This window comes from Homo sapiens, chromosome 7 (assembly GCF_000001405.40).
Source record: "Homo sapiens chromosome 7, GRCh38.p14 Primary Assembly".
NCBI classification, from domain to species: domain Eukaryota; kingdom Metazoa; phylum Chordata; class Mammalia; order Primates; family Hominidae; genus Homo; species Homo sapiens.
Genome location: NC_000007.14, coordinates 93,839,248 through 93,862,975, shown reverse-complemented (window position 1 = coordinate 93,862,975; position 23,728 = coordinate 93,839,248). Strand labels below are relative to the sequence as shown.

General features: G+C 34.7%; 1 long non-coding RNA gene and 1 pseudogene across 2 annotated transcripts; one reads left to right on the top strand and one right to left on the bottom strand.

The window, feature by feature from the left end:
• The first annotated feature begins 242 nt into the window (after positions 1–242).
• On the top strand, positions 243–9,829 carry LOC124901811 (uncharacterized). 2 transcript variants are annotated; one of them, XR_007060640.1, is made up of 2 exons: positions 243–461; positions 5,358–9,829. It is a non-coding gene; the product is annotated as an uncharacterized LOC124901811 (long non-coding RNA). The 2 variants fall into 2 exon arrangements; XR_007060639.1 differs by having other exon boundaries at positions 4,064–9,829.
• A 7,634-nt stretch (positions 9,830–17,463) lies between these two features.
• On the bottom strand, positions 17,464–18,251 carry NDUFAF4P2 (NADH:ubiquinone oxidoreductase complex assembly factor 4 pseudogene 2; annotated as a pseudogene).

Genomic DNA, 23,728 nt, shown 5'->3' with positions numbered 1-23,728 from the left:
GAATCACAGGCTCTAACTGGCTGTAGAAAGAGTGTTACTAATAAGGGATTGTAGTATTCTGCCTCCAGGGCAGCCCCAATACTCCCTGTTCCTTAGTATTTACCCCATTGTGCAATCCCTTCCTACACTGTACAAGGATTGATTCATATAGTAGATAACATATAGCAGAAAAAATGGGATGTAATTTCTGAGATTACTAAAGTTTCCATCTTGAATATTTTTTCCCTCTCTTCTCTCTCTTTCCTGGATTCTCATTAGGGTTGAGGCCAATTGTGGCATCTTGAAGACACTCAGGCAGCCTATGGAGAAACGCCTTTGATAAGGAATAGAAGCTTGCCAGCAGCCACTCGAGTGAGCTTAGGAGTGGGTTCACCAGCACCAGTGAAGCTTTGAGATAACTGATGCCCTGGCTGACCCGTTGACTGTAATCTGATGAGAGATGCTGAACCAAAACCATCCAGGTGAGCCACTCCTAGATTCCTGACACTCAAAAACTGTGTGAGATGAGAAATGATTGTTATTTTAAGATGCTAAATTCTGAGATAATTTGTTATGGGGGCAAAATGTAACTCATATAGGAATGAAGAAAAATATTTTTGCTTGTCTCAAAAATGAGAACACACCAAGTATACAGATATTTGACAAGTTTTGCGGTGACTGAGCCAAGAAATCCCCCCAGTTTTTCTAAACCAGGAAACAGAGATTGACAGAGAAATAAAGTCTCCTTCTGAAAAAATAAAAAATAAAAAAGAGAGAGTTTTCTCTCTTCCAGCATGGCTGCACAAGTGGGGAGGGGTTTGTTTTCCAATCTAGCTCCTTTAGTTTTGCAATTAGTCCAAATTTCTCTCAGAACCTGAAAACAGATTTTCTAACAATTTCGGTTTTCAGTGTCATTATTTCAGTGTCATTATCTTTCTTTATTCCTAGATATTTTTGTGACCATTTGGGAAAATCTATAGCAAGATTTGTTAGTGCAACTCAATTTTGATGAAGAATTCCTATAATAAAATAGATTGCATATGATTTAAATTATTTTAACTTTATTGATATTTGTTTTATGGGTCAGGATATGGTATCTTGGTGCACATTCACCAACTATGATTATAAAATTGTCTGTTTCTTTTTTCAGTTTCACCCGTTTTTGCTTCATGTATTTTGAAAGTCTTTTGTTTGGTGTGCACACATTTAGCTTCACTGCATGTTTCCAGTACATTGATCTTTTCACCATCATATAATGCCCTTTTTTCTCTCTAGCAATTTTCTTTGCTTCGAATTCTATTTTATCAGACATTAATATAACCGTGCTTTCTTTCTTTTCAAAAAATTTCATGTTCGAATGCTAGGTCTTTTCCATCCCCTTACTTTCAACCTACCTGTGTCATTTAATTTGAAGTGAGTTTTCTATCAATAGTATATAGTTGGGTCATGGTTTGTTTAATTTTTTCACTTTTCCAATATCTGATCTTTGCTCAGTATATTTAGATTATTTACATTCAAGGTAATTATTGTTATTAAAGGTACTTTTGAGTATAACTCTTTGTATAGTTTCCTTAGTGGTTGCTTTGGGTATTGCAATATACATATGTGACTTACCATGGTCTACTAGTAGCAACATTTTATCACTTCAAATGAAATGTGAGAAATTTATTTCTAATTAAGTCCCTTTAGTTTCCTCACTTCTAAATATAGAGTTGTTCCTTGGTGTCTGTAGGGGATTTGTTCCAGGACTGCCCCTGCAGATATAAAAATCCATGGACACTCAAATCCCTTATGTAAAGTGGTTTAGTATTTGCATATAACCTTTGCACATTCTCCTGTCGACTTTAAATCATCTCCAGATAACTTAATGCAAAATACAATGTAAATACTATATAAATACTTGTTATACTATATTATTTAGTGAATAATGACAAGAAAAAAGTCTTTATATGTTCAGTATAGACACAACCATCCTTTTTTTTCCCGCAAATATTTTTGATTCTTGTTTGGTTGAATTCATGGATAAGGAACCCACAAATACAGAAGACTGACTGTAACTGTCTTGAGCATCAGATGGTATTATAATTTTTGTTTCAATTATCAAATGTGATTTATAAAATTGATGAGGGGGAATGATAGTTTTTTATATATACTATTTCTTCTCTTTCTGTTGTTACTTCTTCCTTCCTGATACTCTAGGATTCTTTTTTTAGATGATTTCCTTTATATCTGAAGTATATGCATTAGCCAGTCTTTAAGGGTAGGTCTGCTAGGAAAAAAATTCTAGTTTTTCTTCATCTGAGATGACTTTATTTTTCTTTAATTTATAAAGGATAATTTTCTGGATATAGAAGTTGCATTTGAAAGTTATTTTCTTTCAGCACCTAAAACACATTGCTAAGAGGTGTGTTTCTTCTCGCTTATTCAGTATAGTTATTTATTTTGTGCAAGAAATAACTTGTTTGGCTTCCTCTATGTGCCATGTTTTCATTCTTACCTAGGGATTAGTTATCACTACCTGAACCACAGAGGCTTGTACAGATAGTGCTTGTTGCCTTGTGAAACTTATGAGTCAAATACTACAAACAATTTTTCTTCCTAAGAGAAGTCAGGAGCAGTCCTACTTTCTTCTGGCCTCCATGGTTTTAGATAAGTAATCCTTTGTCACACAAACTGATGTTCCATGTGGACAATATTTCCTTTTGAGATGTTTTGTCTTTAGTTTTCAGAAGCTTATTGTGGTAGTATGGATTTCTTTGCATTTATCTTGTTTGGAATTCCTTAGCTTCTTGAATCTGTTCATCTGTTCAAGCATGAAGCATCTGTTCAAGCATGAAGCATCTGTTCATGCTTTTACCAAATGTGAGAAGTTTTGAGCCATTGTTTCTTCAAATATTCTTTCAGTCTTGCTCTCCTTCCTTCCTAGATTCCAATGATATGAAATTTGTATCTTTCATTATGGACCCACAGGTCTCTGAGGCTCTGTTTATCTTTTTAGTCTGTTTTCTCTGTATTTTTCAGATGGGGTGAATTCTATTAATCTGTTTTCACGTTTATTGATTCTATGCTCTTTCATATCCACTGTACTACTGAGTCCATCCAGTGAATTATTTGTGGGGGTTTTTTTTGTATTTTTTTGTTGTTGTTGAGATGGAGTCTTGCCCTTTGGCCCAGGCTGGAGTGCAATGGCACAATCTCGGCTCACCGCAAGCTCTGCCTCCCAGTTCAGAATTATTTCTTTTTGTTATTGTACTGTTAGTTCTATAATTACCCTGGAAGCCACTTATGGTTGCCTGGTCAATTCTATTTGTAAGTATTGTCAGGCTAACCTGATGTTAAAGGGATTTCTATTAAATTTCACAAAAGAATGAAACTTCATGAGCTGCCTTCCGTTGGAAAGTTGGAATTCAGGAAATAATGGGTCTGATTTATCCTCGTTTGTTGCTTGGAATGGATTTATGTACCTGTTGCTGTGTAATTCCTCTAATCCCAGGTCCCTAAACCATCTTGCTTTCTTCATACCACCTTTCAGGGCTTCCTTTAGTTGCTCCTCATATTATCAAAGGGATTATACTTGTGCTTAGCAGAAAGGAGCAGGGAGAAATGGATCCATGTCACCTTGTCTAAACTTAGTCTCATTCATCTACTCTTGATTTCATGATCTGTCTGCGGCCCTTGACATGGTACCTAAAATAATTTTCTCTCGGTCTACCTGAAACTATACTTCCTATTTATTCAGAAAATGTGCAGTGTTGGGCTGCTCTTTGTGGCAGGGTGCCCACTGGTTTAACAAAGGCATATCCAGACAAAGAGGAGTCTAAATGTAGATAATTGACTGTATTGGTCAAATATGGAAGAGCATTACTCAATGGAGAAATTTCTTAAATCAATCAGATTGGTTCCGTCTAAAAATTTTGAGCAGAGAATTTGTATAAAACTGTATAATCAGCAGTTATAAAAGTTGGTACAAACATGAAGAAGAGAGTAGAAATAATAAAGGAGTTTATGAGAGGCAAGATAGAGAGATTGATAAAAATCCCATCTGCAGAGCTGCTTAGAAACTTAAACATCTTTTCCTTTTCAGTTACTGTCAATGTGTCTTCACATGGCCCTTCACCGTTCATCTCCAGAATGTGGCTTGGGGAAATGTTTGTTCCTCACAAGGAGTATTGTCTCATTAATACAATCACACCATCGAAACAACTCTGATGGGATACTATTTGGAAATATTCACACATTCTTTTACCTTGATCTTTCTCCCCATTCACAGGAGCTAGATTGTGTGACATTTTCAGGAATAGGTGTTACAACAAAAAATGAGAAAAAGAGTTTTATTGTTTCAAAAGTCTGGGCCCTGAGATAACTCATAACTATAGAAAAAGAATGCAGTGAGGCAGAGTTAGACTTCCAACTCCTAAAAGAAACACAAAACTTTAGATAGCCTCATATCTTACGGGAACAGCTAATGATTTCACTGCACCGAGGAATGGGACTAAAATGTGAGGAACAGAGCCCAATCTGACACCTTGCAGTAGCAATGAGGAATGATTCAAAGGGATCCATGTGGCTGGCAGTTGGGAACCACCGAAGAATAAGGAAATCTCAGCAGGGCAATGCATAGCTGTTCATAACCATGGAGATCAGAGGTGCCCCTTCTAAGACTCTGGGATGATATGAGCCTCCAGCAGCTTGGATACAACCTGAGAAAAAGTTAGGTGAACTCCAAGATGCTAAGATTAAGTTCTATGACCTGATTACAGAGGGAATTCAGAAAGAATGTTACCATTGACTCCCAAGTCCTTTGTGTGCCTCTTCCCAATTCTGTTCATTTTCTCTCCTCTCAGTTATAACTACTTTCATAATGTTGTGTTCATTATTCTACCTTTTTTCTTTATAATTCACTACATTTGGATGTACCTCTAAATTTTGTTTAGTTTTGCATGTTTTTGAATGTTTTTTAAATGGAATTATACTGTATCTATTCTTCAACAAAGTTTTTCGCTCAACATTTATCTTCTTTTTTCATCCAAGGTGATGCATTTGAATGAATTCATGTATTTCCACTACCGTATAGAATTTTATATAAATACATGACAATTATTTATCTATTTTCTTATAAAGAGCATTTAAATTTTTTTCATATTTTGGCTATTACAAACAATATTACTATAAATATTCTTCAACATGTCTTCTCCTTCACATACACAAGAGCTTCTCAGAGGCAAAGCTAAGAATGGAATTGCTCAGTGTATCTTAGGGTAGATCAGCTGCTGATAGAAACTATTGCAAAATCTCACTAACTTAACGCTACAAACATTGCTTCTAACTCACTGCAAACCCCATGTGAATATTCCTGGTTAATTGATTCTCTTGGACAGATTGCCACAAATTGTGCTGCTAAAATCCTCAGCACTTGGTGTTATAGTAACCTTGGAAGACATCCTGAAGAAGACACAGAAGATCACCACTTTGGCTCAGAAATGACACTTACAGATTCTGTTCACACTCAATTGGCTGGAAGTAATCTCATGATCCTGACTAGATGTGAGAAAGCTGGGAAACCTAGTTTCTGGCTGGACAGCAGTTTCCCAACCACACATGTACACTATAGAAATGGAGCATAAATATTTATTGGTTCTGTTAGTGAGTTCTGCTGCAGCTAGGTTGTACAGACTGCTTATGTTCAATTTTGCAAGATAATTACCATTTGTTTTCTAAGAGGTGGTAACAATTTGCACCACCATTAGCAGTGTAAGAATTCTAGTTGCTCTGTATCTCATTTATTATGATATCTTGTAAGTCACTTCATTGTATAATTATACAGATTTGTATTTCTTTTTGAAATATGTAAATTCCTCAGAGGTGTATATCAAATAAATTATTAAACCATTTTGTGATGAAGGAATTAAAGTATAGATTACATAATCTATTAAAGTTTGGCCAGTAGGGCCTAGACTTTATTCTTCATAACCTAGCCGTCTTTTCTGAGGGTTTTAGAAATTTCCATCATATGCACTGAAAGCTTTCTTATTGTTTCTGTTTTTCCCTGTAAATTTAAGTGCTTAGAATAGTGCCATATAAATTATTAGCAATCAATACCTATTCTTTGAATGAATAAATAAATGAATTTCTATGAAGCAGTCACATTTCAAATCTTCATCATCTGGTTATATTATAGTCTGTTTTATTTCAGGTCGAATTCATTGGTTTGTAAATAAGAATTGAAAATCATATATTTAAGGGACAATTACCTCGTCATGTAAATGGCCAAATATTCCTTTTGGGGGAATAAAAAGCAGAAGCTTATTTATGTCAAAGTGTGTTGCTTCTTGCTTATTCATTATAGTTACTTATTTTGAGCAAGAAATAACTAGTTTGGCTTCCTCTATGTGCCATGTTTTCATTCTTATCTAGAGATTAATCATCACTACCTGAACCACAGAAGCTTGCACAGATAGTGCTTGTTCTCTATGAAACTTATGAATCAAATGCTACAAACATTCTTTCTTCCTGAGAGAAATCAGAACAGGAAATGTCAAGTTCATGACCATCAATCACACAGAAGGAGAGAGATCAGTATAAATTCTATAGAGTTTCAGATTTGTTAGGTTTATAATGAAGGTTCAAAGGGAAAGGGAGTTAGGAAGTACAAGTTAGCATGTAATAATGATTGCTTTTTGCCTTTTCTTATTAAAGCTTTTCCTAGACTATGAATAGTGGATGATTACAAATAGTTACTTTGATTTTCTATAGAAATTGCAAAACTACATTTGTTAGGAGAAAAAATCAACTTTGTTCTTTTAGAATAACATTTTTTCTTATGTTAAAAAGGGAAAAATATCTTTTCTTTCTTTGTAATATCAAGTATAATTAAAGAGAGATTTAGATTGCTCATGCTGAGGCTCCTACTTCCCAATGCATAAATCATGTTTTGTAGATCAGTGAGTTTTGCATTATTTAATGGTGTGGTAGCATAATCATCTTAGATCAGTTTGTTCAGCTTGCAAGGCCATGGGTTCAGATGTTACGGAGCAGTCAGCTTTTCTTAGTTGTAAAACAAGCCTGAAATGGGTTGGACTGAAGGGGAGTGGCTGATGCATCCACCCTCCCAGAGAGAAGGGCAATGAGAAGGCATGATGAGGGGCACTTTCAGGTGGAGTGAGAAGTTCTGGGACAAGATTTTATGAAGCCCTGGGACAAGATTCTCCAGTGTTTTAGGGTGGTATATTTGTGCAATTTCACAGGAATGGATATATGTCTTCCTGATAAAGGTGGTACTTTGGAAACAAATGCACCTGGTGCTGGCATAGATTCAGGGAGGTCAGACACTGAAGGCATGTAGGTATGAATGAACATGAGTTAATATTTATTAGCCAATTCTTGGTGAAGGGATTAGTTTGCATTCTCATATAAGGAAAGGGGGAAAGCCTTTAATGCTCCATCTACTACTTGGGTAGGAGACCATCATAGACAGCACAGGTATCACCAAATTCCTGCTAAGCAAGGGAGTCTGAAAAGCATCTCACCTAGGGCCTCCTCCTGCCTCTACCAGAGGCATATGACAGACGCAGGTCCCATTTATGTTTGGATGCAGCATTAGTGTGTCAGGAGGATGGTAACAGCAGTTATCCAGTGGTGCCAAAGAATTTTAGGTAATTATGCAGATTAGTACCTTTCGTCATGTAGCAGACTAATGCCAAATAGAAAATTGCCCTGAGAGTGGTGGTGAATGTAAGAAGCATGTCCACTGGGAGGGACCACTTGTAAACCTCCAGCTAGAGCATCAGGATATGCTTTATTCAGTTCAGACAGACTTCTGGGGTGATGCTTACCTCTTGGGCCAGAGCTTTCCCTGAGTGATGCGCAGTCCGCAGGGACTCAGGTGTGAAACATGCTGAAACATCATTGCTCTAGCAGGAAGGGAAAACATCAGAAGTGGGGAAGGGATGAGCTCTGCCTCCATCTCTCATGCCAGTATGACTGGAGAAGAAAGAGACTGAAGATCAGAGAAAAAAAAATCCCACTTTTAAAATTTTTCTCCTGGGAAATGTCTCTAAAGATAGATTCTTAGGAAAATGAATACTCAAGGTTGACCTGTCATAAAATTGGATAATTGCAGCACACAGCCTTACCCTTTCTAGAAACATTTGAATTATTTTCTTATTTAAGAAGATGCAGGGTGAATAAGTTTATATAGATGCTTGCAAATATTTTTTTCTACTTATATCTCATGAAACAATTCTTCAAACTCTTCACATCTACAAAATTGGTGTCTTTCTAGGAAGCATGTTTTGAATCAATTACATTGGTCATATTGCATCATTTCCACTTCTGTCCAGTTTGAGAAGTAGCACAGTTAATCCATGGGTAGTGTGGTCATTGAATAGCTTATCCTAAGCTACAGGTATCCATTTGCATAGCATCATGACAGTTTTAATCATTCACAGATGTATATTTATTGTCTTCACGATGTAAGACCTACTCTTGTATTTATTCATTTATTTTTGTTTCCAGTTTTTTTCAGGTAAGGTTCATATAAAATGAAATGCATAACTCTATAGAGTATAATGTAATAAGTTTTGATAAATCAGTTGAATCATGTAATTCATACCTCTATGAAGATGAAAATATTTTTATCATCCAAAAATGTTATTTTTCTAGACCTTACCACATGATTACACCCTCCCTAGTATACCAGTGATGTGATATTTTCCCCTCTAGTTTCCTTTTTCTAGAACTTCATGAAATGGAGCCATACAGTATGCACTCTTTTGTGTCCAGCTTCTTTTACTTAACATAGTATCTGTGAGATAGTGTATATGAGTCATTTTTCATTGTTGAGTACTATTCCATCATATGAATATTCTACAATTTATTTTTCCGCTCCCTTGTTGATGGACATTTATATTATTTCCTGTGTTTGGCTACTTTGAATAAATCTGCTGTGAATAATCTGTGCCAGTATTTAAAGGGTAAGTTTTATTTCTTTTGGGAAAACTTTAGGAAGAGAATTGTTGGGTTATTGGTGAATGTTCAAAATTATTTCAAAAACTGCCAAACAGTACTCCAGCATGGCTTTATTTTTTTATACCCTCAGCAACATACAAAAATTTTGATTACTTTACATTTTTGCCAACACTTAAAGTTGTTAATCTTTTTAATTTTGGTCATTCTAGTAGCACTATCTCACTATGCTTTTAATTGGCATTTCCCTAATGATCAATGTTATTGAGCAATTTTCCATGGGCTTTTGGGCCATTTTTATATCTTCTTATATGAAATGCTTGTTCAAGTCTTTTTCCCTTTTAAATTAAGTTGTTTGTCTTTCTATTATTGAGTTGCAGGAGTTTTAAAATATATCCTGGATATAAATCCATTGTCAGATATATGTTATGCAAGTATTTTCTCCCAGTCTGTGGCTTGACTACTCATTTTCTTAATAATGTCTTTTGATAAGTGTAAGTTTTATTGTCAATTAAGTCTAATTTATCATTTTTTCTTTTATTTTTTTTAATTTTCTGTTTCCAGACTAAAAAATCTTTTCATACTCCTTGATGGTAAAGACCATCTCCTATGTTTTGTTGAGACCTTTTTTGGTTATTCCTTTTTGAAAGAGTTTTGGTAAATGGTGTTTAAAACATGTTCTATTTCATATAAATGGTAGAATTTATTGGCATAAAACTGTTTATAATATTTTCTTACCATCCTTAGAGTGCCTGCAGAATCTTGTTTGTTATTCCTGATAATGGTTATTTGTATTTGCTCTCTTTCTTTTAAAATCAAACTTCCTATATATTTAGACATGTTATAAATATTTTCAAGGAATAAATTTCTGGCTTTCTTAATTGTATCCATTGTTTCTCTGTTTTATACTTAATTAATTTCAGTCCTTATATATTTTTTATGATGTTTGTAGTAATCGTTTATAACTTTATTGAAGTGTAATTGACATTCAATAAACTGCACATATTTATGGTATTCTAATATATACATATAAACACATATAAAACTATCACCACAATCAACATAATATCTACTCATCATATCTACTACCTTTGTTTTCTTTCTATATGATTCTTTGTAATCTATCAGTCTATCCATCCATCCACTGCTCTGCTTCCCCAAGGAATTACAAATCTGCTTTTTTCCCCCACTATGGGTTGTTTTGTATTATCTAGAAATATATGAAATGTGTGCGTGAGTGTGTATGTGTGTGTACACATGTATATATAAAATCATACAGTATATTATTCTTTATCTTTTTTCACTCAGCATTTTTATCTTGATGTTCATCTATGTTTTTGTGTGTATGGATATGCCACAATTTATCCATTCACCTGTTGATAGACATTTGGAACATTTCTGATTTGGGGGTTATTACGGTAAAACTTCTATGGACATTTGTTTACAAATTTTGTATGTACACATATATATTTTTCTCTTCTGTAAATACATAGCAAGGGAGTGGCTGAGTCATATGGTAGTTGTATGTTCAACTTTTTAGGAAACTACAAAACTGTTCTCCAAAGTGGTTGCTTCACTTTATAATCCATTTATCAGTGTATGAGACTTCTAGCTGCACAACATTCTCACCAAGACTTGGCATTGTCCGTCTTTTTAATGTTAGTAGTATGTATGATATGCTATAGAGACCTTAGGTTATTTATTTCTGAAAAAAAATATTGATTTTGTTCTAACAGAAAGACAACTTAGCTGGCCTCAGTCTCCATTTTTGTCTCCTCTGTGGAGGGCAGGAGTTAAAATATCCACTTATTTCTTTCAGATTTTCAACTGGTATTTACAGAGGGCTTCCTGCAATCTCTCCTATGCACATGGTTCAGGTGTCCACTTTATGTTTTTGTGCTTTCCTCTTGTGGCTTTCTCATCTGGGGGTTTGTCCCTTACTTTCCAGTTATAATGACTGCCACAAACTCTATAGTTTGACTCCCACAGGGTTTAATGACCTGACCTGTGAAGAAAAGTCAAAATTAGTGATTTTTTTTCCTGTTTTGTCCAGAGTTTATAGTTAGTATCTGCGGGGTGGTTATGCTGATACAAACTACTCCTCTATTAAAATAAGAAAACTTCTATATGCCCATGCCAAAACTTTTAAGATTGAACAGCTCATGCAAGACTAGTTATCAAAATAACCAAAGTTGACTCAGATTAGTGGCAGTGAGTACCTGAAACTGAATGGAGAAGAGTTATAGCCGGTTTGGTATTTTCCTCTTACAAATTAAAACCATTCCATTCCTGGGCTGGGTACTCATCTGGAACTGGAATTAACCTACTAAATAATGTTGTTTGTGCTGGAAATTTCATGTCTGAGTTCCTGTGGATTGAGGTACACATTGTCCACACACAAGGAGCCAATGCAGTGTTTTTTTAGGAATGTACCATAAGAGGCAGGGTAAACATTCAAATTACGTTACCTTTCTATGGATATGGGATGAAGACTGGAAACCAAGGTGAAACCAAGTTGAAAGAGCAATGAGTAATATATTACAAAGTAGAAGTGGAGAATTCTATATAAATTTCTGATCTGCTGATTTTTTTTCGTATACAGTCCATTGAATTTGATTTGCTGCTATACAGCTCCAGTGGCGACTGCAGAAAGTGTTAAAGGATGCAAAGAACATTAGGAAGAATAGACCAAATTCAGCTTTTATGGTTATTTCTGTTTAGGTAAATCTCACCTTTCACCAGGAGTGGAATACAATTGAGAGATCTACTGTTAGATCAACAGATATTCAGTTATCTTTGATGTATAATCAGAGTCATTTTTTGTCCAAGGACAGATAGTTATTAGTTACCTGCACTGATGGTGATCAGAACATATTAATATATCTTTATGTTTGTACATCCTGTCCTGCTTGCTAATGGAAGACAAGAAATATAGATAAATAGTGTAAAAAATGTATACATCGGGCAATGTACCTTTTCAAAGCATTTCACATGATCTTTCCTTAATGCACAGTCTCATATTATTTAGTTTCTATGTGTGAATTGAATTCAGGAAAAGAGACTGGTTGAATTTTGAGTTAGTGCCCTTTTCTCTATTAAATATAATATTTCATTAAATTTTAAGAAGGTTTTATTAATTCCCCATTTCTTAGAAACATGTGCAAGAGTTTATAGTTCAGTCAATAGTCTCTTTTCTTTCCTAATCTTGTTTTTTAATTTGGAAAAGGAATTTTACTGACCTTTATTGGAAACAGAGATACTAAATTGCCAAATGCCCTAAATGTAGATAGATGTAACTTAAATCACCTCTCCTGTTGATTTGAACTTTGAGTCTGTCAAGCTATTGATTTTTGTTTGTTAGCATGAATTTTAAATAGCATAAAATGTTGTTTTCCCAAGCTTTTCCTCCAAAAAAGTACCCTTTTACCATTATTTGTTTCTCTCATAAACTTGTGCTTTAAGAGGGGTTTTTTTTGGCACAACAAACTGCATTTGCTAGACAGTAGTTTGTGTTGTCCTATGACAGCTAAATATATAACTTTTATTGGGTCTTTTAAATTATAGAAAATAATGTGTGAGCCCACACTTATTTCTGTTGTGGAAGTCAAAGAATGCAGGGACCTGAGTAGGGATGCAGTGAGTAAAATAGTAAGAATACAATGGTTTCCTTGATAACAACATCCATCTTATTAGAAACATACTTAAGACCAAGTTTAACAAAAGAGAATCACTCTCAGGACCAGTAATTTCTGCTGATATCCAGAAAATAAAATTGGCTGCATGACATATTTGCAAATAGTATTATAGAATGACATCTCATTGAATGTATATAATTTTTTGATTTCTAAGGAGAAAGTAATGTTAAAAAAAAACCAACATCACAGAATGCTAAATACTTAAATGCATCTAAATATTCTCAACATCCTTGATTTTCCAAATTTTCTCTTTTCTGTCATGTCAGTTGTTTCAACTTTCATGGAACTGCCCTGATGGAAAAGCATTCTCCCTGTTTAGAGGTGATAGAATGTCACCCTCGAAATAGAGTAATCCCCAAGTGCTTTCATTTATAAAGATTGTGCTTATGCTCGATTACACTTAGTGAAATTGTAAAGTTCATATTATACTCGTTCATACAGTTTCCACAGTGTCCCTTTCTCAGTCTTGGGGCCTCTTATCTGTAGAGAGCCCCATATTGTCATTACCCCTCTGCCAGCCTCCGTCAAAACTTATCCTTTCTATTTATAGTTACCACTGCATAATGCTAACTGTGTAGTAGCACAGGGCTAACTCATATAATAAATGTACTTATATTTTAGGTCCCTAAATAGAAGTTGAGTAAATTTCTAATGGTGGATGTCTTATCTTTATCTTCAGTTTTCTTTAAAAACAGGAAATGAAGTTAGCGACCTGGCCCTCTTCACTCTCCTAAAACTGCCCTTGGAAAAACACTGCTGGTCTCCTAATGCTGTGCATAACAGATAATTTTTAAGCTTATCTTATTTGCCATTTCGCCAGCATTGAGATATTGCCTACTTCGTTCTGACCATTTTCTCCTCCCTTGGCTTCAGACATGGCTCTATCCTGGTTTTCTGTTTCTCTGACGCCTCTTTCTCTATTTGCTTAGTTCCCTGAGATACTGGTGATTCCCAGGGGTCTATTCTTGACACTCTTTTCTTATGTTTTCTCTCTCACTGAATAAACCAATTTATTTCCATGTTTCTATGCATTTTTTCATCCTACACCTTCTTGAAGTTTTGTCTGTCACACTCACATAGGCCTTTCAAGATTCAGTTGGCTGTCAGTTCCTGTTAATGATGCTTTGAAGCATGATCTCACTTATATGTAGAATCTAAAAAATTGAACTCGATGGTTACCAAAAGCTGGGAAGGATGGGAGAAGTAGGGGGCAGGCGGGGATGGCTAATGGGTACAAAAATAATAGAAAGAATGGATTAGACTTAGAATTTGATAGCACAACAGGGTGACTATAGTCAATAATAACTTAATTGTACATTTAAAAAGAACTGAAAGAGTGTAATTGGGTTGTTTGTAATTCCAAGGATAAATGCTTGAAGGGATAGATACCCCGTTCTCCATGATGTGATTATTATGCCTTGCATGCCTGTATCAAAACATCTCATGTACCCCATAAATATATATACCTACCATGTACCCACAAAAATTAAAAATGAAAAAAATAAAAGTAAAAATATATAAAAATTTGAACTCATAGAAATAGAGGGTAGAATGGTGATTACCAGAGGCTGAGCACAGGGAATGGGTGTGAAAAGGGGAAATGTTGGTCAAAAGGTGCAAAGCTTTAGTTAGACACCAAGAATGAGTTCTGGTAATCTATCGTACAGCAAGATGACTATAGTTAATAATAATATATTGTATATTTAAAATTGCTAAAAATTGATTTAGGTGTTCTCACCACAAAGAAACAATAGGTATAGGAGGCGATAGAGATGTTAATTAGCTTGATTTGCTCATTCCAAAATGTATATATTTATTAAAGCATCACATTGTACCCCATAAATATATGCAATTATTGTCAATAAACTAAAACTAAAAAAGAAAAAGCCCAGCTCAGATTAATTCTTTCCTGGTCTTGTTTAGAGCAAATCAACCCCTATTCTGTAAGAACACTGATTTTTATACATACTTCTGTTATTGCTCTTATGATACTATTTACATGTTACTTTCTCCAGTGACTCTGTGAGCTAATGAAGGGTAAGTTTGTGTTTTATTGATCTTTGTCTCTCCCCTAGCGCCTAATACAGGAGGACTATATTCACTCAGCTAAGCAAGAGAAAATAAAATGGTTTGCTTGTTATATCATTATCTCCAGAGTAAATTATGTGAGTACCAATACACTCTCAAAGTTAATTGAAACCAAAAAGGATTAGTATGACATATGGCACATGCTCAATAAGTTTATGTCAAATGGATGAGACAGAATATAAATAGATAAGCAAATAAAAACGTAGATGCTATTCACCTGTATTGATTCAAACTGTTTTAGTCATCATAGCAAGTTTACATAGCTACAGAGGTGGTAGGGTGTTAGAAAGTTCCAGTTCCAAATGTGTGTAATTAAATGGTACATTTTACCTTGAAATCATTAAATCACATGTGCTTCCATAGTATATAGATTCATGTAAATTTAGCCAAGAAAGTCTTTCTTCATTTGTACCAATTTTTAAATTTGTATTTTCCAATAGCCTTTTAAAAAATTCCACTGGCTATGCACGGTGGCTCATACCTATAATACTAGCATTTTGGGAGGCCAACGTGGAAGGATCACTTGAGCCCAGGAGTTTGAGACCAGGCAAACTCCTGGGCAGCAAAGTGAAGCCCTGTCTCTACAAAAAAATAGACAAAATCAGCCGGCATGGTGCTGCATGCCTGTGGTCCCAGCTACTCAGAAGGCTGAAGCAGGAGGATTGCTTTAGCCCAGGAGTTCAAGGCTGCAGTGATCTGTAATGCTTCCACTTCACTCCAACCTGGGTGACAGGGTGAGACTCTGTCTCCAAAAAAAAAAAACAAAAGTTCCATTGACAAATCCTTCATGTATCCATTGTTCATGCTATCTTCCCTTATGCTTTAATTGTATGACGTTTAACTATTAACTATTTTCATTTATTTGAATTAATTTGACTTCAAGTTAAATCTGACTAGGAAGCAAAAAAGAAATGCCAAAGGAGAGACTACTTCCTCTTCAGAAATAAAATGAAATAAATGATTTTTTTCATTTGTTAATACAATCAATCTTTCAACATTCAGAAAAGTGCATCTATACCTAATGGTTAGAGTCTTTGTGGTAACACTTATGATAAATAATTATTTTGTTCAATAATACATTTGAGATAATTTCTTAATTAGTCTCTCAGAAGTCTCTTGTGAAACTAAGAATTCTTTTTTTTTTTTTAATGGTATGGGAAGAAGTCCTTTATTTTATCATGTGACGCCACATAACAGCTGCCTAACCATACAATGCAGATATGAGTAGAAAAGATGGCTCAGAAATAGTTTACTAGTGTTAGTGACTCAGTTAGTGACCATTATGATAAAAGGAATAAAGTTTTGACTGATTTACAGGAGTTTTAAAATGCATTTTATATTGAGAATTTATGTCATGCTTTCTTAAAACAATTATTGTATTGAACTAAAAATTAACTAGTAGTTTGTTCACATAACAAATCTACATTCAAAGACATGCTTACACATTTTCCACTTAGTCTATTTTTCTGTTCTCAGCATTACTACAAATGCCTCATTCCGTCATCATGTTGAATTCCTCAGCATCTTCTATATCATTTCCAGGGGCATCTCTGGGAAGTAATGATGCCTATCTTCCCTCAGAAGCACTGACAACCCCAATATACCACAATTTATACCTTTTCCCTTCTCTGAGGTGTGCTGCTTTTAGGCACAAAAGAAAAAAACACACTACCAGGATTTGAGAAACTAAGTTTTGGGCCTGGTTAGGTCATAAACTACAGAAACCTTATGTCATATATTCTCCCCAGGTGCTTGTTTCTCCACTGCAAAAAAAAAATTCATATTTGCTTGGTCCTTTGTAGTCCTTTACTATTTCATTTATCTTCGTGATAACCCTTAAATTTAAGTAAGGTAGCATTATTCTTGTTTTAAAGAAGAAATTCAATATTAAAGAGGATATAGTCTGCCAAAGATCCCACAAGTAGTAATGTCATAGGCGGAGCTAAACTCACACACTCTCACGCAGATCCCAGGACTGATACATGCCGTGCTAATAAGTTTGCTAAAATGGATGAAGTGGCAATTTCTCAGGTCCCTTCCAGTGATCCTCTTCTCTGCTTCTACTTGCTATTTGTTCTCTCTTCTCTCAACTAGCATTAACATCCGAAACTATATATAATCACCAAATTTCATTTACCATGGTTTTTGGATTTAATTATTCTTTAAATTTTTCTATTTCCATGTTAAATCCAGAAAAATGTTACTTTTTCGAAAATTTCTGCTGTTGCCTGCCTCTCTGAAGGCCATGGGACTTACCTATTTGTTTGTTGAAGCAGAAATTTTCAACATTTTGCAAATATCGCTAATTACCTTTTATAACTGTAAAGACAATTATTCTATACTTAAAACCAATTCAAAATAAAATAAATCCTCAGTACTTCTTATTCCCTGGAGTAGTAATTTTAACTAGATTCTATAGATTCATTGCTTTCTACTGTGTGCCTTTATTTGGGAAATACTGTTAGTCTACCTTTCTATTGTATCTCTTTCCCTAACAAGAAAATGTCAGTCTTAAGAGTCAGGAAAGCTTTTACTTTCACTATCACATATGAAGAATGAACTAAACACCTAACTTGGAAAGTAAAACTTAAATGAGGGATTCAGGGACGTTTCCCAAGGGGTCATATGATCAATTTAAAAGTTGGTATGATGTGCCTAAAATAACAAATTAATTCTTTTACTTATAATAAATGTACAGATGTGCTGATTAGTCATGCTGACATGTACATATGAAATATGCCCAAACCAAATTAAAAGAAAACAAAATACATTCTATGGCAATCTTGAAAAGTCAGGAAGCTCAATAAATATTAAGAATATGCTCTCACAATGAGAGAATTAAACATTTGGTAGTTAACATAATTTAACATGCAAAAAATGAGATAATATACAGGATGAGGGATGAGGAGTACACATAGGAAATTTTTGCGATTTTCTTCATTTTGATTGTATTGCTTTCTTGTCTTCATGAGGGAAGATTTTGAGTTCAAAAGTAACAAAATAAGAGGGGAACTCACATCTTTCTGTTCTAAATGGTATTCTTGCGCTATTTTCTCAGCGGTCCATGTTTCTTGATAAAGTTTATGATTATTGAGAAAAGTCAATGCTTCTATAATGGAAATTTTGCCTTTGGGAATGCTCTTAATATTTATTATATCAAAGTGATAGCCTTTGGGCAATCTGAATTCCTCTGGCTCTTGACGTGTTTCAGCAGCTTTTACCTGCACGGAAGACACAGGATCTTTGGAATCAACATATACATCTTTTAGAAATGGCAGCATCTTGTCATCTTTACGAGCAATCTCTACCTTAATTTCTGGATAGAGACTAATCTGCTCTTGCAGGAGGCTGTTGGTAGAGGGGTAACCGGGAGTGGGAGAGGGCTTCATCTTGCTGATTTCCCGTTCCGCTGGGTTCTCTAGGTTGAAATTCCTGATCCCGCGAGTCACCGCAGCCCCCATCTCCTCAACACGATGCCCTCAGATTCACGCCGCGCAAGGGAACACCGACACAGTAAACCTCCGGCGAAACTGAGAATTCTTATAATATCTTATGAAATTAACTGGTCTTTTAATATTGTGCCATCATTTGTAAGAATTATATTCAATACCTTAATTTAAGCCACTCTAAAAATAGCAAAGCTGACAAAAACGACTAATCCTTGTAACATACCATCTTGTGTATCCTAAAATCAACCATTCACCCATTATTTAATTTTTGGAAAACAACTAATTTGAAATAATCGGGTTTTCTCTTTCAATATCTCAGGTTTTGAACATCTTTTGGGGAAAAGAGAAATTTCATTCTCAGACTCTTTCTATGGTTAAGATAAAATTTTTTTGTTAACTATATTCACTCAGCTAAGAAAGAGAAAATAAAATGGTTTGCTTGTTATATCATTATCTCCAGAGTAAATTATGTGGGTGCCAATAAACTCTAAATTCATTGAAACTGAGAAGGATTCGATTGCAACACACAAACAACTTTTCATGATTGCTGCTTACTTTCAAGCACATCCTTGTATATAATTAGTTCCTCTTCCTTAAAACAGGTCTTGTTTTGTGCTTCATAATTTCATGTCTAAGATGATAATATAATTTTCTGAAGTTGATTTACACAGCATATCAAGGGAGTAGTAGCATTATTTATTTTATTGGATGGGAAAGACTTATTGGGCAAGAGAAAATTCTACGTCTATTTTTTCTTTGAATCTGCTTTGAAGACAAAATTATGAAACAAAGACATAAAAGTGCAATTGCTATTTCTGACAATATTGGGTGAGCAAAAGATGGCAGCCCCAAAGAAAAGAAAGAACAAAATTATAATAACTGTTGTGGTTGCCATAATAGTAAAGTGTAGGAAAGTTTCCAGAAACATCCCAAAGGAGTAAATTATTCTTCTCTGAATACACTCACAGCATAGAAAACAACTCATTATAGAGATTTCCTTTGGGAGTTCTCTAATAGCTATAATGACAAATCTCATAAGTGTACGTATCACCCTAAGATATAGCCATGGAGTCATGCCTTTATATTTCCAGAAAGTTATATGCTTTACCCAGTAACTAGAATTGGCCTTGCCATGTTTTTTAAAATTCTGAACCTTAGTTCATTACAGATGGCTATACTGAGTCAATGCAGAGGTTGAAGATTTTTCTGGAGATCTAGAAATCTCCTTGCTGTGCACTTTCTGTCTTTTCAAGATGAAGTTAATTGGAATACTTTAAGCCTGAATATAGGAGAGTGAGTCATTATTCAGCATTCACAGTCTTCCTAACCCAAGAATGCAAAATACTTTAAAGACCAAACCAAATGCAAAATTTGGGTTGAACTCAAGGCTAAAGAAAATGCAAGGAGGTGGAAAAATACCTAAAAGCTTCGTGTCCATTTATTCTCAAGGGCCAGTTACCCTAAATTGAAGAAGAGGAATGCAAAATGCAGCAAGGAGATTACCACATTATCCTAAGGAATTTTGATAACTATAGGAGTTAACTTAGATCAGCATCCACAAATCCAAAAAAATCAAAGAACAAAAATTACCAAAAACAAGAGAACATAAAAAAAATTAATTGTATACCACCAAAATAATCTAAATAACTAACTTGTAAATCTAATTCCAGTGGAAATTACATAGCAGTGCCAAAGAGAAAGAGATATAAATTGCTACGTAATATCAGAAGGGAGTACACTATAATCCCCTCTGAAGAGATCACTGTGCTTTCCGGAGGCTCATGGAGCTGCTTCTCATCCAACTTCCTACAAAGCAACTTAATGATTTTTTAATATTTTTGAAGGAATCAGTCACACACAAACACACACACACACACACACACACACACACACACACACACACACACACAGAGTTATGTTCATATTAAGCCTTCCAAGAGTGATTGAAGCATTACTGGGACTGCTGAAAGAGGTTAATAGTTTTCTAGACAAAAGCTGCCTTAGACACCAAGAACAAACAACTGAAGATTAGTTTGTCTAAAAGTCTCATTACTGCATGTAGAAGCATGGTAAGTCTTTTTGTACATACTCCAAGAAAGAAAATGAGATGAATTTTGGGAACATGACATTATGTTTCTGGTGGGATTTTAAATTTTGGTCTAATTAACATGGCATGAGGTTATCTTTCAGAAAGTCCCAGAACATATGTGAATAGGAATGCTTAAGATATACATAATTGTCCATGTTGAGTAAATCACTTGTAAGGGTACTAAGTCCCCTAATAAACAGACTGAGCAAAAATCATGAAAATTATTTTTTAGTCACGAGTCTAGAGAAAAATTTATCCAAAGATAAAAAGATGAACTAGTTATATATTCATTTTTCAATTTACCTTTGATATGATAAGATATACATCAAATTTAAGATCAATTAACTAGTAGATACTATAACTTAGTTTCCTTGTAAACACACCAGACATGTGCTCATAATATTTTAAAATAGATTTCTTAAGGGAAATTTGACTTCTATCTATTTTAAAACTGTTTAAACACTTTGAACTATTCGGATGAAATATTCAAATGGATGTTAGTAAATAATAGAACATATGTTACGATTTTGTTGTTTTACATGTAACTTCCTAATGAAATTATACCTACAGAATAGACTTTTTGCTTTGGGGAATTTTTTATGCCAACAATTGTTACCAGTGTGTGTCTGATGAAAATTAAGAGAGGCTAATAGGCAGTGATGCAACAACTCCTCCTTACAGAGTGGATTTAATGAGATTAGATCAAGCTGTGTTGCCTGTGTACATACACAGGCAATGCCTCTTGTTCATGGCAACCTGGAAATCTTTCAGTAGACTTATTACTTTGCATGACCACATTCTTATAAGGCATATTAGCAAATATGTAGCAGCCTAAATTCCAAAAAAAAAAAAAAATAACAAAACTGCACAAGCCACATTATAATGCTAAAAGTGAAGAAAAGTCTTGCACTTTGGGTAAAAAATTCAGGTGTGAGTACAACCAAGTTGGATAATTTGGGACAAAAGTCCATTTTAGGAAGGGTCACCCAAATCAATATTTTATCATCATTATATATAAACCAGATATTTGCCAAATAACTTATTCAATTTGGGAAGAAACACTCTATAAATTATAAAAATGGTTTAGTAGAAAAGTTATTCTACATGATAGATTCCTACAGGGGAGAAAAATCTCAAATATAACCTTAAGAAGGTCCATCACAACTTTGGGTGAATAGTTTTAGTGATTTTTTGAAAGTATTTTCCTACCTGAATGCCACTGAGGCTGTCATTCCCATAATTAAAGTCACGAGTCTAGGTTAGAAAATGTTTATAGCCTGGGAAAAGAAAGACATTAATATTTTATAAAGAATTAACTACTATCAGAAGGGTGTCACCTAATACATCATGTTTAGGGTTATGAAGGAAAAGAAATTTTTAACATGGAGACAGAAAGAATACAAACTGCAAAATGTCTGTAGGAAGTTGGGACAATAGAAAGACATAGAATGAAGGTTTAAGGTCGGAATATCCACTTCAGAAAGGAATCTGAAGATTCATGTGGGAGTAGGGAGAGGAGAGGGTGGAAAAATAGAAGACAAACTGTGAATCTTCAGAATTGAGTTTGGAAGTGGTCTCTGTCTAACAGTCACGAGAGGAATGAAAAGTTTGACAAGAAAATAACACCTGTTAGAATCTGTCATTAATAGAATGAAGAGTGTGGTTCTGCAGAAGATTCTCTGTAAGCATAAAAATCACAAGCAAGATTGACAGATCCTGTTTCCAAATAAAGTCTGACGGGTATAATTTCACGAAGTATTAGTCTGTGGATGACCAAATTTCCCCCTGCAAAAAACAGGAACCATGCCTGGTTGAAGAAAAGGAAATGTAAGGTGTCCATTAAAATAGACAAAATTCTGTCGCTAGATTTTCACTTCATATTGACAACTATTAATTAACTGCTGCTTTGGGTGATTGCCTGGGTTAGGATGTTAGGACATCAGGCCATCAGACTTCCGTGTAATCTCAAACAGTACCATCATGGCATTTTCTTGATTGGTCTATTTTCCTTTTCTGTGGGCTTTTAAGATTTTAATATTATTAGGCTAGTCATTTGTTTAATTTCTCTCCTTCCTGCAAATTCTTTCCCATTGAAACAATGTTTCTGAGAGATGATGTGACTTGGTGATATCAATCAGGGGCTGCTTACCCAAGAGGAAAATTTCCCATTGGAAAATTACTGGGCTCTCAGCAAAACCAGACACCTCCCAGGCAAAGGGCTTGAGGCTGACAAGGGCCAATGAAGAGGACACTTATGTCTAACCATATGAAAAGCCTAGACGATAAGCATGTACATGTTCATATTATTCTGACAATCATGATGTTCTGCCTAGGGCACAATAGTTTTCACTATAATGAATAATACTGCAGTAAACATTCTGCTCATATAATACCTACATCACAGAACTGTACAGTTGAAAGAGACCACATATACTATCTAATCCAGTGGTTTCCCAATTACTATAGCTGAAATTCCTTTTTCCCATATAAAATCCTACATAGCATTTCTTTGTCCCTGCACCACTCCTATCTAATGTAGTGCCTTAGTTGTTTAGAGGAAGGAGAGAATTCTTCATTTTTTTTTGTAATGTTCTGTCTTTCATCCTGAAGGATTTCCTCCATTTTCAATTTTATCTGGGAGGTGCTTTTCACACTTCTTCACACCGACCTCACTCGTTAAAATCTTGAGCATGTAGTTGGAGATGTCCTACCAATAGTTATGTTGGCAGTTTCCAAATAGGGAGAGTATTCTTGATAAGCAATCTCATCAGCAACCCTCATGATCCTCCTTCCCCAAGCCTAGATCAGTCATTCCCTGGATCTCAGAGGCTTTTATTTTATTTAATAAGGTACTTACAAAGAAAGGCATCGAACTTGATGTAGAAGGTTAAAAAATTCCTAACACAGGCTATTTTTATTATTTTCAAACAGTGTAGAATGATGTAAGCACAAAATTGCATCTATATCGTAATTTTCTTTCTCAAATAAGACAGTTTGGAAAAATATTTACTCTTCAAATCAGAGGATAATAGCATCTGTGTACTTAGAGCTCAAAATTGGAATATTTATCTAACAGTTCTGAACATTGTGTATATGAAAATCGTTTCTTGTTATTGTTGTTGCTGGTTTGTTGGGTGGGGGTTGGGGGAATGGGAGGGTGTTCTACTAGCTCGTGGTTGTATTTTCTACCATCTCAAACTAAAATAGAAATGTGTATTGGAGAACACAGAAATATTATATTTTCTTGCAAAGGTGGTCACCTAAAACTAATAGGAAGGTTTAAAAATGTTGAGTATTTAATATTGTCTTCAAGTGAAATAGTGAGACAAAGATTTATTTTCTTACTCTTTTCTTTGTCTCACTCTCTCCTTTGTCACATAAACTGCTTTGTTTTTCATATAGCTCAGTGCCTGCCATTTAGTCATCTATATATGTTTCCTTTGGAGCAAGCAAATAGAATGTTT